A 19,236-nucleotide genomic window follows, 5' to 3' on the forward strand; every position below is an offset into this window, starting at 1 on the left:
GTTGGAGAGGAGTCTGTTGAGTCACCCTGTCATCCTCCATGTGTAGGACCATCCCTGTCCAACCCTTCCAACATGTGGCCTGGGTTCTTGGTGCTGGTGCCCTCCCAACAGGGCTGGGAGTGAGACACTCCCTTGGTTGGGGCTCTGCATGGATGGTTCATCCACCACTTCTAATGGGCTTGTCTTAGAAGGGCCTGCCACTCTCTCTCGAAATCCCACACCTGACTTCGAGAAGATGTGTCTCCACACCTCCTGACAACACCATCTCACTGTTATTTCTCATCTGTGTCTGTGAGATCTGGAACAGGAAGCTGACATTTGGAGTCAGGCAGCTCCAAGCCTGCATTAAATTCCTCACTGAGTAGCAGAGTGGCTGGTAAGAACCACGGAACCTCCACAAGGGACCCCTGCATCCTGTCTGGGAAGGGAGGATAGAGCTTGCATTGTGGGGTGGTGGGAGGATAAACTGACTGGGTTAAAGAAGCCATGGTACCTGGAACTTGGTGTCTGTTTTTGAAAATGGATTTTGGCTCCTCATCACCCATGCAGAGACCACTCTCCTCTGGGTGTTTCCCTCGGCTCTCCTCCAGGCAGACCATTCTGGGTAACATTTCCCTTCTGGGTGCTTGGACCAAGAGCTTGAAAGCTGCATTTGTCCCTGTTGGGCCTATGTCCTGTGCATCATTCTCACCCATTCTCTCCTTGCCCCTCTGCTAATTCTTAGGAATCCATTCGTATTCTGAAGCCTCCCACCTTCCCATTTACACCTATTAAAATCCGTAAGCACTCTGCTGGGTTCCTTTCTTGTAAATTGCATATTTGATTTGAAATAATGAATGAGGATGTTTTGACATTTCTAATGAACATGAGTTAGTTTAGCATGTTTCTGAGCTGCTTCCAAAAATATCTATTTGTATTCATCATTTGCCACATAATCCACCTGTAATCACCCCATTGTCATGTGATCAACTCTATTTTATCATCAGCAAGATCAACACCCTCACATCATGAAAAAACCTATGCCATGAAACTCTTCCCAGCAGAATTGATCATGTACAACTCTGACGTGTGGTGTGGCAATCAGCAGGCAGTGATGAATATGCACACGGTTGCACGGGCAGGTGCAGAGACTGGCTTCGTCTTCTATTATTAACACCTTGGGGCTCATGCATCTACTATAATCTCATGCACCTGCTTTAAAGATGTAACTTGTGTTCCTTCCTGCACGTTTTCTATTTGTGTTGATTGTGTTCAGTTTCACTGGCCTGCTTTCCTGATTCCATGTGAATCCATCCCTGGTTTTTATTTCAGGAGTTGACCACTGAGCCCGTCAAGAGTCAAGGCTGTGTTTGTGTGTGTCTATAGCAAACATTGTTAGAGCACAAGACAGGGCTCTGTTTCCTATAAGGGGACCTGTTTTGCTGAAGAAAAGAAGTGGCCATCCAAAATCACAGGAATGTCGGCTCAGGGCATCAGCTCTGCTCACGCTAACATAGGACTTGCTGAGATCAGGGTCAAGCACGGGAAGCAGATTGGGCACAGAAATGCCTTCCAGTCACTTGTGGATCCAGGGGAGCGTGCCTTCCCCTTTGATAAGCAGGACCGGGGTCAACAGCAGCTGCCACCCTGCCAGACAGGCGTCTGTGTGTTCTTGTCAGGGTGGGCACTCGGTGGGTCTCCTTGACGTGGCTCCAGTCTCAGAGGGCCAATGTGTGAAATCTGAGGTTCTGCCTTCTGCCTCCAGATGTCTTCCCTCTGGGCTAAAGCCATGGGAAGGCACTTGTTTCGTGGAGGAGTAGGATTTGTGTCTCTGGCAGTTGTCCTGCACATTCAAGATGCAAGAGCTTTCTGTGCAACACAAGCAAAGCAGAGGAAAATGCAGCTATTTTCCCCGTGTGTGTGCACATGAGGGCAAATGTGACTTCTTCGCGGTGCCTTTCAACACTGAAAACCTCCCGAGCCAAAATCAAATACACAGAGCATCTAGAATTTTCTGTTGATAAACACATCTCTTTCCACTCACTCACTCACACTTGTATTCCAATCCATTGTTAATTCACATGATGTTGGGGCCGAAGCCTTTCATTTAAGTTAAATAGAAAGATCTCTTCCATCTCGACCTGCCTGTGTCCACGGAGCAGAACCGCGAACCTGTCGTCTTCAGCGCCCACGGCTGAGTGCGTGGAGACCTCCCGGCTGTGCTTGTCTCTGCCTTCTGTCTTGCTATTCAGAGGCAGTTCTCCTCTCTTCTCTGTTTATAGAGGTCAAACGTTTTAGTTCAAAAAGTGTGACTTTGGTACAAAGCCAAGCTGAACAATTTGGACTCCAGATTCCTGACCCTGCCATTCCATGGGAGCCGAGGCCCCTTTCAGCCGAGCTTCCACTGCGGCTTCTTTGACATGCTTCACTAACCCTAATAGCTCCCTGTTACTGGTGACAATTTAGCATCTGAGCCAGGAGCTGGAAGACAGGGGGAGAAAAGGGTGTAAATTATACGGAGTAGCGGGGAACAAAGGTTTTATTTCTCCTGAGCACAACCCTTTGATAGGAAAACGGGGGAGACAAATGTGTCGCTAATTTAATTAAGTGGTATGAGATTTCAGGGTCTACAGATGCCATTTAGAACGGGATTAATCAAGAGCAGGTGACGAAAATGAATAGTCACACACAATGTTAGCGTTTTCAACAATCCGACACAGTCGGATGGAATCAAGAGCTCTTCAAAATAGGACACAGTTTTGCTTGCTAATCCAAATCTACCTACTCTTTCTCCTCACAATACACGGCTTGTTCTCACAAGGCAGAAACCTTTCCTATTTTCTTGCTATAAGCGAGGCATCCAAAGCAAAGGGATAAAGAAATTGGTTTATGTACTTGATGCTTTGTTTATTCTTCCCTCCCCACAGTCTCTGATGAAGAGGTGTCATCAGGAGATCTTAGAGCACCTTTGGAGTGACCCTCAGTCCCTACTCCATGCTAAAAATTAGATGTGCCCCAGGTCAGCTCCATGGCTGAATATATGGACGCATCCCCAAACAGCGCCTGAGCACCTGCTGTGTAAGGAGCTCACCTTCATCCTGGTGGCTTGATGAGTCAGAAAGATACTGAGTGCCCCAGCAAACACAGCACGTGCCCAGAGGCCCCTGAATGGGGAGCATAACAGGGCCTGGCACACAGTAGGAAATGACACCTGTTTAATAAACTGAGCTGAACCGAGGGATGCGACTGGATGCTTGTGCCCAGAGGGGACCATGTCCTGCTCTACCTGCCAAAGTCCAACTTCCCTTAATCCACTGTGCAAATCACACTTGAACAAGACATGGCTCCAAGCTTTCAGGAAGAGGTAACTCTCTTAACTTCCATCATACTTAACTTGGAAGAAGTATTTGGCATATGGATTATTCAGATATAAAGAAATCTCTCTCAAATGCTTGACAGTACTTGAAAAATATTTTAGTCTCCTAAGAGTTCAAGCAGCATTCTGAAAATTTGACTTGTATCATTAATTCTTTTTCTGCATACACTTTAGAGACGGAGAAAAAGGTATAATTTTAGTTTTGGTTGCCCCTCATCTTTTCAGAAATTCTGACTTAGTAGAGACTAAGCTGGTGAATTCTTGCTAGTCAGGAAATATTTAAAAAGTATTGTGAACGACTTAGATAAATTTTTAAATTTCTCCATGCCTGATTGCTGTTCTTCTTCTTTATATATATATATATATACTTTAAGTTCTGCAGAACGTGCAGGTTTGTTACATAGGTAAACACATGCCATGGTGGTTTGCTGCATCCATCAACCCATCACCTACATTAGGTATTTCTTCTAATGTTATCCCTCCCCTTGCCCCCAACCCCTGACAGGCCCTGGTGTGTGATGTTCCCCTCCCTGAGACCATGTGTTCTCATTGGTCAACTCACACTTATGACTGAGAACATGTGGTGTTTGGTTTTCTGAGCTTGTGATAGTTTGTTGAGAATGATGGTTTCCAGCTTCATTCACGTCCCTGCAAAGGACATTAACTCATCCTATTTTCATGGCTGCATAGTATTCCATGGTGTGTATGTGCCACATTTTCTTAATCCAGTCTATCGTTGATGGATGTTTGTGTTGGTTCCAAGTCTTTGCTATTGTGAATAGTGGGCAATAAACATACGTGTACATGTGTCTTTATCGTAGCATGATTTGTAATTTCAATATGTGTATTTTCTTCATTTAGAGATCCTTCTCTATGGCTGAAAAACAAAACAAACAAACAAAATCATTCCTAAACTTTGGAGGCCTATAACAATCTGTAGTGGTTTTTCTGGGGAAACATTTGAAACTATTGAATGTTTATTTAAAATATCTGGGAAATACCTAGGGATTTCAGACAAACACTTTACCCTTCTCCTTCAACCCCACAAATAATTGGAAGATGGATATATTGTTTCCTAAGTACTAAAGGAAAAATGATATCTGGGAGATGATTGTTGTTAGAATAAGCTAACTCTTTCAGGGTTCACCTTTCTGGCAATGCATGAAGATGTCACATGAAACTTGTTTCATGGTAGATTCATGTATCTAACCCTTCGTTGGCCCAAAGGTTCCTGGGCACCTGAGAAGCTTGAAATCTCACACACATGCCCACCGTTGGAACAAGCAGTGCTGTGAGAGGCAGAGTCTAATTTTATTTCCTTTTATGCTTGTGAACATGACAGAAGCCTAACTCTTCCTCACTTAAAAAACACTCGGGCTCAGTGGGCACCACTTCATTCTACAGGTGTATAAGAATGGCTTTTTTTCTTGTATTCTGTGAGTGCAAAATGCCTCCCCGCCCTGGTCAGTCCTGCGTGGGGTGGCCATGCCAGCCGGGGGGCTCGGAATAGGGCTCTGAGCGGGACGGCAGTGCAGTCATGGGTAATAGAGACTAGAGCCGAGAAATCTCCATCTGCTCCGCTGAACAGCTCCATCTCCTTCAAGTAGGCTCCAGCCAAACAACCCTGCTCCCCGCGTGGATGCAATTCCGACTGGAAGCTGGAGAATCCCACACGCTGGCAAGGAAGGCCAGGGCTGACCTTCCTCTCTTCGGAAAATAACATAGATTGTGACAGAACAAGAGTAGAACTTGAATCATAACTGTATTTTTCTTTTGTGAAATTCATAACAGAGGTGGGCTGGGGAGGAGGGGTGATCTGGCACCAGCGGGGGCCTGTGATTCTCTGTCCAGCTTTGGCCCAATAGACCGTGTCTTGGGCAAATTCCCAGATGTCCCACACCTCAGTTACCCCCTCATGAATGGACCGTGCCATCTCAAGATGCTCCCCGGCCTGGGAACCTAGGACTTATGATGATGCCGGCTTTGCTTTTGAGAGCAACAGCAGCAGATGAGGTGGGGCTGGAACCTTGATGCCGATTTGGGCGTTTGAATGAGACAGTCGGCCAGCAGAATCTCCACCCCAGCTGCCGTCAACAGGAGTGCAGTAGAGCTGGTAAAACGCACCCTGGCACCTGCGGAAAACACAGACTACAGATCAGAGCAAGTGGGGTGTGCCATTTCCCAGCTCACGGAGCAGGACAGGGAGCATTTGGAAAGAATCAGACCGCTTTGGGTGCAATAGATCTTGTAGGTGCTCCAGGCATTGTGGAGACCAGAAATACCTGTTTCCTAAGGCCCAGCTCATTCTGGCAGTCTTACCTGGACCGTAGGGTCTGGGAGCTCTGAATGGACACTGTTCACTCACTGAAGAGATGGAAGACCAGGAGGTGACATGGCCAGTCTCCCGTGCATGTCAAGAGTGCCAGCAAACAGCCCAGAAACCTGCCTGTCTGCTTCCTCCTGGCTGTCTTGGGTTTCAGCTGCCTGCCTGCCAGGAGACACCCATCAGCAAATGCACGACTGCAGCAGCATTTCACAGGCCACTGGACGTCTGTGAAGCATGCATTTTAAGCTGCTTTTGGCAGTTTGGCTCCTGGTCTCCAGAACCTGCTTTTACATTTTCAAACTACCCCTAAAGTTTCTTAATTAGACTGTACACAAACTCACATGGAAAATTTTTTTAGGTGATATTTCAATTCATTTCAGATCTGTTTTCTTGGAATTTTGCGGGGTTGGCAACATGAGGAAACAGAAGACCTGAGTTCAGATACCAGGTTGAGTCCCAGCCTGGCACAGTCCAGGTAGAATCGTGCTGCCTCCCAGGGCTCCATCTTCATCACGTGGGTGAGGGAAGTGCTCACAGGTGACCCTGGCAGGAGGCATGTCCGGGATCAAGCCCCTCCCAGGTGCCAGGAGGCACTGTTCTAGGACCATGCCTCCTAATTTTCTTTTTCCCAGAGGAATTGCCTTGCAGTACAGGAATCAGTGCATAGAGAAGGATCTGGAATGGAAGCTGAGGATTTTTGTCATAAATAGTGTCTTGACTCGAAAGCTGCCGGGTCTTTTGCAGATTTTTCTCCATAATTTAAGACTCATTCCTTGGCAGTGTTTTGTTCCTGTTATGTTGGCATCATTCTGGTTTTTTTCTGTTCATATGTTTGAGGTTATAATTAAAAACAAATCTGGAAATTTTGCATTAACTTAAACCAATGTTTGCTAGCCTGTTTGTTCTGAAATAATTCCAGGATCTGGAATGGAAGCTGATGATTTTTGTCATAAATGGTGTCTTGACTCGAAAGCTGCTGGGTTTTTGCAGATTTTTCTCCATAATTTAAGACTCATTCCTTGGCAGTGTTTTGTTCCTGTTATGTTGGCATCGTTCTGGTTTTTTTCTCTTCATATGTTTGAGGTTATAATCAAAAACAAATCTGGAAATTTTGCATTAATTTAAACCAATGTTTGCTAGCCTGTTTGTTCTGAAATAATCAGTTGTTTGATTCCAACTTAAGCAAAATGGCTAGTACAGATGCTCTAAGGATATTCCCTGTGCATAAAAAATGGGATCAGCATAGCTGTTGGCATTTCTTTTCTCCACCGTCAGGTGTTCAGCCTGACCCTGGTCCCTCGCTCCAGCTTTCTGGCCCATTCGGGAAGGGCCTCAGAGCGTGCAGAGTGGCCTGACTTCTCAGTGGGAAAGTGCATGGAGACAACGATGTGCTAGGAGGGATGGCCCAGCTCGTAGGGTCCACGCCTGATCTGGGTGGAGCTGGGGGTGCAACGTCCTAGTTCTTTTTTTAATTATTATTATACTTTAAGTATTAGGGTACATGTGCACAACGTGCAGGCTTGTTACATATGTAAACATGTGCCATGTTGGTGTGCTGCACCCATTAACTCGTCATTTACATTAGGTATATCTCCTAATGCTATCCCTCCCCGCTCCCCCCACCCCACACTATTCACAATAGCAAAGACTTGGAACCAACCCAAATGTCCAACAATGATAGACTGGATTAAGAAAATGTGGCACATATACACCATGGAATACTATGCAGCCATAAAAAATGATGAGTTCATGTCCTTTGTAGGGACATGGATGAAGCTGGAAACCATCATTTTCAGCAAACTATTGCAAGGACAAAAATCCAAACACCACATGTTCTCGCTCATAGGTGGGAATTGAACAATGAGAACACTTGGACCCAGGAAGGGGAACGTCCTAGTTCTTGAAGGGGTGTTCCAGTGCACCTGCTCTGTAGCTTTCCTGCAGTGACTGCTGTTGTGGGGTTGCTTCTCCCACCTGCCAGGGTTCACCCTGATGGGTGCCCAGGGCAGGCGAGGTGAATATTTTAATATTCGTTTCATGATTTTATTTTAGTTTCAAATGCCTTAAACTTGAAGTGTTCACAGAATCTCAGTTTAATAGAGAGCAAAGTGATGAGAATTGGTATGGAAGTGACTTTAAAGTAAATGTAATGTGCTAAAACACACAACACATGACGTCAAAATGTTTATCATCACTAGAAAAATGAAAACTTATGCACAATCCCTTTCAAAATTATTATACATTGACATCTTAATGTGGTTTTATATTAAAATGTATCACAAGGCCAAATATCAAATATTTGAACCCATCTATAGTTTGGGATTATTGAAACATTTCCTTCCTTTCATGGTCATGGAAAATTGAGAGTTGGCTAAACAGCCTCTACAGCAGGAGAGGGGATGACCAGGAAGATGGGTATGCTGTCGGAACCTGTAAACCAGAAGCCCGGGAAGGGGTGAGAGGCCATTAGCACCAAAGGAAGTAATTAATTATCAATGTGTCCAGAGAGATAATCTATTATAAGTAGCCCTATTAAAATATAAAGGGAAAATATAGGTCCTTAAAAAAAGACAGTATGTTCATGCTGGAGGGTGAAAATGAATAGGAACTTTTATTATTAAACTAATATACCATTTGATTAAAAAGTGAGCTATGTAAGCTTTAATAAGATAAGAAAGATGAAGTCGGTAAAAATATTCTTGAATTAGCTAAGTGAGGATTCTTTCCTTTCAAAATTTTTCAACAGGGAAAAGGCTAAGGGAAAATGTGTGGGCAATTGTGAAGCTCACAGAGGCCATCCCGGAGGCTGTGTGAGAGCAGGGGCCTCCTCCAAAAGCAGCACCCTCAGGCACATTTGGAAGTGAGGTTGGGGAGAAGTAGAAAAAAAATCAGAATGTGGTTGTGCCACCTTTCCTTAGTTCCCTTTCCAGATGATCTTCCCCAGGTCATTATTCTTATTCCTGAAGGTTTCTTTCTTTCCCTATCCCCACCTCCCAGACTTGCTTCTGTTTCCTTCCCAGCCCTCTCTGATCCTCTCTCCCTCCATTTCTAGTGAAACATTTTGTGTTGTTGCTTTATTTTTGCTGTTGGAGGAATTACTCCTGGGACAGTGTCTATGAATCAGAATTCTAGAGCATTAACTAATTTCTTACTATTGATAGTTTTGTTTTATTCAAACAATCTAATGGTCTTTCCTTGCAGCCATTTGATTAGATTCTGAAGGGCCCTTGGCTGAGCCATCTGGGCAGGGCCACCCCAGCAGGCCCTGTGCTGCATCTGAGATTCCTCACCATTCTGGGGCTTTTCAGAACCAAATGGTGAGAATGACAAAGCTCAAAGACAAAAACACGATGCAGGTGAGCTCTGTTGAAGAAAGGTCCTTAGACACTGAAAACGACACCACGAAAGTAATAATGAAGAAAGGGATACATGGATTCCTAGCTAAGAAGGAATGTACAAGCTCTTGGTGCTAAGGGACAGCAAGATTCCAGCATAAAAGACAATTTTTTAAAAAAAGAGACAGCAAGGAGGTCAGATTCTTTTTGGTAATTTTAAAAATAGTATTTTTTTTAACTTTGAGATTTGTGTTGTCCTTAAGCCAAATGTGCCCATGACTTTTTTATTCACAAACACAAATTATTGAGAAATGTATTTATACCTTTCCTGGCTGCAAATCAGGACTTGAGGAGACTGACAGACACATACAGCATCTGATGAGATCAAGGCAACCAAACGCGAGGCAATAGAAGGCAGGGCAGGTGGGCACAGTGGGAATCCTGAGCGAGGCATGGCCCCTTACAAGGCACCCAGGGCACATGGTCCTCGGGAAGTGGCCACTCACTCGGAGCAGCCCTGCGTGGCTGGTGGACAGTGGCCTCCGCAAGAACGTGGCTGATGGACAGTGACCTCAGGAATGTCTTCCCCTCCCTGTAGGAGGCCCTCCTTGTCTTCCCATCCCTACAGGAGGCACTCCCAACACCTTCACTCAGAACATACCCTGGGCTGCCACCGAGAGCCAGGAGCTGCAAATGCAAGAGTCAAGAAGCAGAAAGGACAGGCTCAGCCCTCCTGGAGCTTCCTGTCCAGGACGGAAACAGGTCACGAGTGTGCCAGGGAGTGGACACTCCCGTGTGACTGCCACGTGCCCAAAGAGGACAGGAAGCAGCGAGAGGAACCACGGACTCACGGAGAACCATAGGAGAGGGAGGCTGGTGGGGGTTATCTGGGGAAGTATGTCCCAGGGACTGGCAACCCTGTGGGCCTGGGTAGAAGGAGGGAGGGAGGCTGTAGACTGTGATGCCAGGGAAGTGGGGGTGGGGCTGGGGCTTGGGCGGGACCCCGGTTTCTGACCCTAAGCCATCCAAGGACCCTGGAGGTCTTGGGCCCCAAGGAAGGAGCCCTGACTTACTGGGAAGGGTTGAGAATGGGCTGTACGGGCCAGGCCCGGATGGAGCAGGGAGGCCGGGGGAGTAGGGTGCCTCATGCAAGTGTGGGAGGCGCTGCCCATCACGGGGCCTTGGCCATGGGGATGATGAGAAATGGCTGGGTTGGGTTTCCTTTGACGTTTTGAGTAGAAGATGCTGAGCTTAAATCATGAACCCTGGAGCACTGCTCTGGTTCTGGGGCATGGAGAGGAGGTAAGATGTCACGCCAGGGCATGGAGGGGAGGTGAGACGCCGCGCCCGGGCACGGAGGGGAGGTGAGACGCCGTGCCGGGGCATCAATGGGAGGTAACGCATGTGCAGAGGCCACGCTGGGCTTCACCAGCAGCTGGTCAGAAGAGGCTGCCCTTCTTTGGGGCTTGTTAGCACCCCTGAAAGAAAGAAAAATGAGATAACAATAAAAAGAGCAATGCAAACCAAGTTAGAAATCAACATGCCTCCCAAAACTGTGCCCCTTTTCACCAAATGGAAACGTGAGACCAGCAGAGGAGCCCCTGGTGCTGGCCCCGTCGTCTCTGCCGAGCCGAGCACCAGAGTCGGCTGCGTGTCCACAGCCATGACTGTTCTCCAACGAGAGGAGAACGGAGGCCTTGGAGGAATCCTCAGAGTCATCCTGAGGAACCTCAGAAGTTGGGAAATTCTGCCACTGCCGTCCGGTTTTGCCCCTGTACACACTGCGGCCCCATTAATCCGTGTGGCGTCCCCAGATCAGCCACAGCCACCACAAGTACGTGGCGACTTGGCCGCGGGCACATTCATGCAGATGAAATGGGAATTTAACAACGTCTCAGGGCGAATGCCTGTTGTCCTTTTTTTTAAGTGTGTCACATGATCGCGCTGTGTGACATCGCAAATCTCCATCTCGGCTTTGTTGGCCTCTATGCATGAATAATTTTCCCAGTGCTTGTTTTTAGTGCAGCCAGAAAAAGAGCGCATTACCGGCGCGCAATCTCTTGTTGTCCGCGATCAGCATTCTGTGGGTCTGAGCTGGCTTACAACGGTGTAAAGACCCCAGCGGCATGTGTTATAATATATGAGCCATTGTCCCCCTGAAGAACGCACGAAAGAAAGAGCATTGTTCTACCAGGGAGCAATTCAGCGGGTTTTTCCCAGAGACTCTTGGGTCAAGTTTTTATAGGCCTATTTGATTTTCAAATTCTTCCTTACGCTCTTTCCTCTCCGCGCGCATAGTGTCCAAACTTGTCTACATTCACTTCCCATGTTCCGTGCATGGTAGATGGCCTTTAAAAAGAGTATCTCAAATAAGTCTTTATTCGTGTTTTGTTGGGTCTCACTCTGTGTTTTCATGAACTCCGGCCCCAGCCATGGCAACTGCAAGAAAATGTTAACAATGATTGACAGGATTAGAAAAGCCTCCGTCCCTATCCGCATTTCAAACACTTTGGGAACAATGGTGTTTGGTGTGATTGAATTAATGAGATACCATGGGCTGTCAAAAGAGCACACAGACTTTACATAAACCTGATTATCTTTGCATGGCAGAAACGGAAAAAAAAATATAGGGGAGAGTGCAGTTTGGCTTTCACGCCTACCTCCAAAGGAGCTTGGAAGGCCGGGCCTGCTCCGTCAGAGGGGCCGCTCAGCTGGCCGGGCCTCCCTCCGTCGGCATACATCAGCCATGGTATTTAACAAGTCTATTCAGGAAACCAGGCCCCAAACAGCCTTCTTTCACAACTCGGCACCTCTGTGGGTTTTTTTTTTTTTTTTTTTTTTTTTTAAATTTTCCCTGGGAGCCATTGTTCAAGAACACATTTCAACAATTAGACCTGAGCCTGCGGCCCCTGCCCCGTCCTCACCCTGCCAAGAGGCGGAGGCCTGGGTCCCGACCATCACAGTGTTTAAAGGTCGGGCCTAGCCGGTGCAGACGTTAAGTCATGGAGGACACCAGCAAGAACCCTGTTTATGGATGGGCGTCCGCTCTGATGATCAGGAGTTCTGCGTGGTGCCTGAAGTCCTTGGCTGAAGCTGCGTGTTGTATTGGGGAAATGAGGATGAGCCTCTAAATATGATTCAGTTTCTTACAGAGAGCAGAGCGACCATCTCCCTTCTGGGACACCTTCCACTGAGAGAGCACCTGAACCGGGCTTGCAAAGTTCCCTGTGAAAAGCCCCCAGAGCTGAGAGCAGGTACATAATCCCATCTCATCATTTACAGATATGGCTTAGGCACCCAGAGAGCACCAGCGACTCAGCTGGTGGAGACCCACAAGGCTTGGGAAGAGCGGTGGCTCCTGGGTCTGCACCTCACCGCCTGTGCTGGCACCATCTTAAGAGTAAAGCTCACTCAAAGTCACAAAGAAGCAAGTGAGCAAAGGGATACGGGAGACTGTCTTCCAGCCCCAGCACAGTCCCTGAGCACCTTTGCTTCTGCAGCTGCCATTGTGGCTCACAATCACGGAGCGACGTCTGAGAGCAGCCACACCAGTTGAGATCACGGAACTATGTCTGAGAGCAGCCATGCCAGTTGAGAAGGCCACGCTGCTCCACTCTAGTAAACACCACGCAAAGTAGAGTGAGGAAGGACCAGGGAAGAGAGCGGCATCTGCAAAACTAGGGCGGATCTCAGCTGTGCCCACCACATGCTGCTGGTCACCTTTCCTGCAGAGGCAAGAACCCAAGCCGGCTTTCCAGTCACAGAACAGTTCCACAGACACTTCGCTGGCCAGCGCCTCTACTTTATCCTCAGTCCACCGATTAAATGTGACAGGTGCACACACACAGGGGAGGAGGTGTAACTTGGGTCTTTGGACATGGCCCTTCTTTCCAGAGTGAACTTGGGGCTGCTAGAGCCTGGGTCCCTGTGGATGGGCGGCTGGAGGCCCGGAGGCCCCAGCACAGCTCTGGAGAAGTGCATGCTCCAGGATTGACATCTGCACCTGTGTGTGAAGCTCCTCTCCCCACTCCCTTTCAGAGCCTAAGAACAGCCTGGGGACTCTGAATTCATCCTTGGCATGACACCCGACAGCAAGGCCTGCTCCCGGCCCAGCCAGCAGATGTCCCTGTTTCACACAGGGTCCTGGATCCGGCCACCGTCCTCCCCGGCCGGCAGCATCCCAGGTCTGCTAACCCGCCGGACGGGGCAAGCGGGAAGGCCGCTTCAGCTCTTTCTCACGCAGAGGGGAGGGTGGGCTGCCCCCAGGAGCCAGAGAATCAGGGATTCTCTCATGGAGTTCCTGATCAGGAAAGCTACAAAGTGACAGCAGCGATGCTGTCAGTGGAAAGAGAAACGGAAATTTGTTGGGTATTGTATTTAAATTTTTACCTGCTTGGTAAAGTTACATTCAACACCAATAAAAAGGAACTGCACTCATACAGAAACTAAGTCCATACAGGAACTACTATATCCACGTTGGAACTATACTCATATAGGAAATATATCCATATAGGAACTACTATGTCCATATGGAAATGATACCCATCTAAGAAATACAGCCATATAGGAACAATAACCATATAGGAAAGATACCCATAGAGGAACTATATCCATACAGAAACGATACTCATACAGGAACAATATCCATATAGGAATGATACCCATACAGGAACTGTATCCATATAGGTATGATGCCAACACAGGAGCTATATACATATAGGAACAATATCTGTAAAGGAACTGTATCCATATAGGAATGATACCCATACAAGAACTCTATCCATATAGGAATGAAACCTATACAGGAACTGTATCCATATAGGAACGATACCCATACAAGAACTGTATCCATATAGGAATGAAACCTATACAGGAACTGTATCCATATAGGAACGATACCCATACAAGAACTGTATCCATATAGGAATGAAACCTATACAGGAACTATGTCCATATAGGAATGGTACCCATACAAGAACTGTATCCATATAGGAATGAAACCTATACAGGAACTGTATCCATATAGGAATGATACCCATACAAGAACTGTATCCATATAGGAATGATACCCATACAAGAACTGTATCCATATAGGAATGAAACCTATACAGAAACTATGTCCATATAGGAATGATACCCAAACAGAAGCTATATTCATATAGGAACAATACCCATACAGGAACTGTATCCATACAGGAACGATACCCCTAGAGAAACTATATCCCATACAGAAACGATAGCCATACAAAATCTATATCCATATAGGAACTATATTCATATAGGAACGATACCTGTCCAGGAACCATATCGATATAGGAACAATACCCATAGAGGAACTATATCCTTATAGGAATGATATTCATACAGGAACTGTAGCCATATAGGAATGATACCCATGCATAAACTATATCCATATAGGAACAATACCCATAGAGAAACTATATCCATATAAGAAAGATACCCATACAGGAACTATATCCATATAGGAACGATACCCATACAGGAAGTATATCCCTATACAGGAACTATATCGATATGGGAACAATATCCATACAGGAACTATATACATATAGGAATGATATCCACAGAAGAACTATATCTATATAGGGATAATACCCATACAGGAACTATATCCATACAGGATGATACCCATACAAGAATTACATCTACACAGAACTATACCCTTAGGGGAACTATATCCCCATACAGGAATAATACCCTTACAGAAATTATATCCATATAGGAATGATACCCATAAAGAACTATATCCATATAACAACGATATCCATACAGGAACGATATACATATAAGAACTATATCCATATAGGAACAATACCCATACAGGAACTATATCCATATAGGAGTGATAACCACACAGAAACTATATCCATATAGGAATGATACCCATAAAGGAACTGTACCCATATACAAATGATACCCATACAAAAATTGTATCCACATAGGAACGATACCCATACAGGCACTATGTCCATATAGCAACGATAACCATACAGAAACTATATTTATATAGGAATGATGCCTATACAGAAACTATATCCATATAGGAATGATACTTATACAGAAACTGTATCCATGTAGGAACAATAGCCATACAGGAACTATATCCATACAGCCACTACGTCCATATAGCAACGATACCCATACAGGAACTATGTCCATATAGGTATGATACCCATACAGAAACTATATCTATATAGGAATGATACCTATAAAAGAAACTATCCATATAGCAACGATACCCATACAGGAACTGTATCCATATAGGAATGATACCTATACAGAAATTGTATCTATACAGGAACTATACCCTTAGAAGAACTCTATTTATACAGGATGATACCCATACAGGAACTATATCCATATAGAAACGATACCCAGATAGGAACTATATCCATATAGGAATGATACCCATATAGGAACTACATCCATACAGCAATGATACCCATAGAGGAACTATACTCATGTAGGAACGCTACCCATACAGGAACTGTATCCATACAGGATGATACCCATACAGGAACTATATCCATACAGGAACTATACCCACACAGGAACTATATCCCTATACAAGAACAATACTCATACAGGAACTATACCCATATAGGAACAATATCCATACAGAAACTGTATTTATGTAGGAATGATATGCATACAAGAACTATATCCATATAGCAATGAGACCCATACAGGAACTGTATCTACAGAGGAACAATACCCATACGAGAACTATATCCATATAGGACCGATACCCATACAGGAACTGTATCCATATAGGAATGATACAATACCCATATAGGAATGTATCCATATAGGAATGATACCCCTAGAGGAACTATATCCCAGTAGGACTGATACCCATATAGGAGCTATATTTATAGAAGAACGATATCCATACAGGAACTATATCCATATAGGAACGATGCTCATAAAGGAACTATATCCATATAGGAATGATACCCACAGAGGGACTATATCCATATAGGAATGATTGCAATACAGGAACTATATCCATATAGGAATTATACCCATACAGGAACTATATTGATATAGGAATGATCCCATGTAGGAACTATATCCATATAGGAACGGTACCCACACAGTAACTATATCCATGCAGGAACTATATCTATACAGGAACTATATCCATACAGGAACTATATCCACACAGGAACTATATCCACACAGGAACTATACCCACACAGGAACTATATCCACACAGGAACTGTATCCATGCAGGAACTATATCCATACAGGAACTATATCCATACAGGAACTATATCCATACAGGAACTGTACCCACACAGGAACTGTACCCACACAGGAACTATACCCATACAGGAACTGTATCCATACAGGAACCCTGTCACACAGGAAAGGAACTCTCTGTCATTAGTCCGTGGAATCTATTTGTTAGTCTTGTACTTTTATGTTTAAAAATGTTTAGTTTTTACTTTTAGGAAAAATGATTGTCTCATTATAAATAATAAAGCTTGTTACAGAAAATTTTAAAAAGTTACAGTATTTAAGTTCTATTTTAAAATTTCATAATTTAACAATTGTGAAATTGTTTTATGTAATAGGGTAAAATATACATTAGAATTTGCTTTCACACCTTTATTTTATTGTGATGAAAGCTCTCTGAAAATTATTTTATTTTTAAGGTCACAAGATATTGCTGTTGTTCACCTTTTATAGATTTGTAAGTTGAAAGCTTGGCAAACAGGTTTTTTTTTAAAATTATACTTTAAGTTTTATTAGTCTATATCGTGATCTCTTTATGTTAAAGTCATTTTAGACACTTCTAGGCATTTGAGCTCCCAGAGACATGTCTGACTAGCGGTACAGCCTCAAAAACTTAATGTTGTTATTGAAATAATGCGGTTTCAGAATTTGGAACAAAAAATGTCCTTGAGATAAAACCCTTCACTCCAGTATTATCAAACGAATCTGTTAGGGCTTTTATAACTGTAGCTAATGTTTGCCGAGTGATTTAAAGCGAGCACATTCCAATAAAATAATATTTGTTACTAAAGAACTGTTTTAAGAAAGGGATTGAGACTGCTCTTTTCTGTGGAGTTTTATGAAACTGAGGCACAAATAATTTCCAGTGGGCACACAGAAGGTTTCACGGAAAGAACTCTGGACTTAGGTCTCCTGAGAGCCCATTGTCACTGCCGGTTCCTCACAGTGGAGTTGCAGTGCTATTTACATGTGGCTGGTTCTTCCTGCTTCACACTACGTTTCCTTGGGTTGGTCACACTTAAAAAATACTTTGGATGATTATAAAGCCTTTAAACAGACTTTCAAAGACTGCTGTCAGCACATTGAACTGCCTTGTTAGTTCAGGTAAGGCCCCCAGTGAGGAGGTGGATATCAGTCCTACTTGGATATAGTTTCTGTAGGAGTATCATTCCTATATGGATATAGTTCCTGTATGGGTATTGTTATGGGTGCTCAATGTCTGTCTCTGGTCGTGAGAGAGAAAGCCTTCCTCAGGACTGGCTCTTGTCACCCACCTGTCCAGGGCGGCCTCTGCCTCTTCATGCTGCCCCTTGTCCACCAGGTACCTAAAGAGGCTGCTCCAACCGCCCTTCTGGTCCTCTGGTTTCTGGTCAGGTCTAGCCAGTGAGGAGGTGGAGAGGCTGGAGGGTGTGCAGAGAGGGCCCAGGTGCCCAGCCCCCCAGAGAGGAGGCAGAGAGGCCAGAGGGTGGGCAGAGAGGGGCCTGGAGTCCATCCCCCCCATGAGGAGGCAGAGAGGCCAGAGGATGGGCAGAGAGAGGCCAGGTGTCCAGCCCCCCAGAGAGGAGGCAGAGAGGCTGGAGGATGGGCAGAGAGAGGCCAGGTGTCCAGCCCCCAGCGAGGAGGCAGAGGGGCCGGAGGGTGGGCAGAGAGAGGCCAGGTGTCCAGCCCCCCAGAGAGGAGGCAGAGGGGCTGGAGGGTGGGCAGAGAGAGGCCAGGTGTGCCGCTCCGACTCTTCCTGCAGGGACGCCCTCCCTGCTCTGCTGAGGACTCTTCCTCTGGCCCTCGAGCCCTGGGTGGACATGGATCCCTGCTAGGCCTGGCTTCCAGATGGGGCTTTTCCTATCTGAAGTGGTTTCCTGCCCTGCCCAAACTTGGCAGCAGGCTCCATGTAGTAAGCCCCCAACTCACGTGTGGGATGCCACCTGTTTTCTGCCAGGGCACTGTGGTATGGTCCAGTAGTGCCACTGTGTCCTCATAGGCAGCTCTGCAGTTGGGGGGTCCCAAACCATGGGGGGTAGGCTGCTCCGACACAGTTTCCCCAGGGTAAGGGAGGGGCTCCAGGATGGTGACGTCCCGTCTCAGCAGGTGTATGTTCTCACCTGCAGACTGCATTGTAGGCCTTCCAGCCAGCCTCCTCGCTGGGGGCATTCCATAGCTCTTGTGTCTTACACGAAAACACCCGGGTGGCAGGTCCATATCCTGGAGCTGCCCACCCCTCCCCAGGCTCAGGCTAGACTCTGCTGCAGACTTTGGGACCAGGAAGGGGAGGGGCCGGTCTCAATGCAAAGGCTGACCTAAGACAGCTGCCCCGGAAGGACCTGCAGCACCTCCTCAGGTGCTTCTAATGTGAGGCAAGTGAGACCACACAGGTGGGTCGGGGACTGGGAGCTGAGATGCATGAGTGAGGGAGGGGGTCTTTAAGGGCCCCCAGGTTGGGGGGCCACAGCCTCCGTGAGGGCAGCTTTCTCGCTGCCATTCTTTGAGATCAATATAGATTGAAAACATTTTGCATGAGAACTCACTGGGTCTTGGGGGGATGGCAAGGGGGCTGTGTGGCTGAGTTAAAGCACGAGACGTGAAACGCCAGCATCACCCTGTCTCTCTCCAAACAGATGGTGCTGCGCGATCCTTTTCCAAAGTGGCTCAATTCACTAGGAAGCGGGTTCCTCAGCACAGATGTTTTGCTGTGTTTCGTATGGCAGGCTTGGGGGCTTTTATGAACATAGTGTGGCTTTAAGACGCCAAGGACTGGGTGAGGGCAGAGTCCCTGCAGAGCGACTCAGTGTCACAGTGAGGTGAGGCCCTGAGGCTCCCACAAGCTCACAGCACACAGGAAAAATGCTGGAAAAAGCATCAGGTGGTGTAGACATCAGACCCCAGAGGAGGTGGAGCTACCTACTCCTTGAAGATCAGTTCCCCATTTCTTAGTTAATAATCATACACTTGAATAATAAGAG

The 19,236-nt window shown here is 46.1% G+C and overlaps 3 annotated features.

Moving 5' to 3' along the window:
• Window positions 7,560-7,729: an enhancer, noted in NCBI's record as "experimental_83970 CRE fragment used in MPRA reporter constructs". NCBI's record gives its function as "activates a minimal promoter by MPRAs in K562 erythroleukemia cells, with activity observed for the non-introgressed 5:2202765 variant allele {active_cell/tissue: K562}" and the evidence as "EXISTENCE:reporter gene assay evidence [ECO:0000049][PMID:34662402]".
• Window positions 9,337-13,260: an enhancer, noted in NCBI's record as "VISTA enhancer hs1327". NCBI's record gives its function as "enhancer in: neural tube[5/6] | hindbrain (rhombencephalon)[5/6] | midbrain (mesencephalon)[5/6] | forebrain[5/6]" and the evidence as "EXISTENCE:transgenic organism evidence [ECO:0001131][PMID:17130149]".
• Window positions 17,267-18,118: an enhancer, noted in NCBI's record as "H3K4me1 hESC enhancer chr5:2212387-2213238 (GRCh37/hg19 assembly coordinates)". NCBI's record gives its function as "activates a minimal SCP1, AML or CMV promoter by ChIP-STARR-seq in naive H9 embryonic stem cells {active_cell/tissue: H9 hESC(naive)}" and the evidence as "EXISTENCE:reporter gene assay evidence [ECO:0000049][PMID:30033119]".

Source organism: Homo sapiens, chromosome 5 (assembly GCF_000001405.40).
Source record: "Homo sapiens chromosome 5, GRCh38.p14 Primary Assembly".
Taxonomy (NCBI): domain Eukaryota; kingdom Metazoa; phylum Chordata; class Mammalia; order Primates; family Hominidae; genus Homo; species Homo sapiens.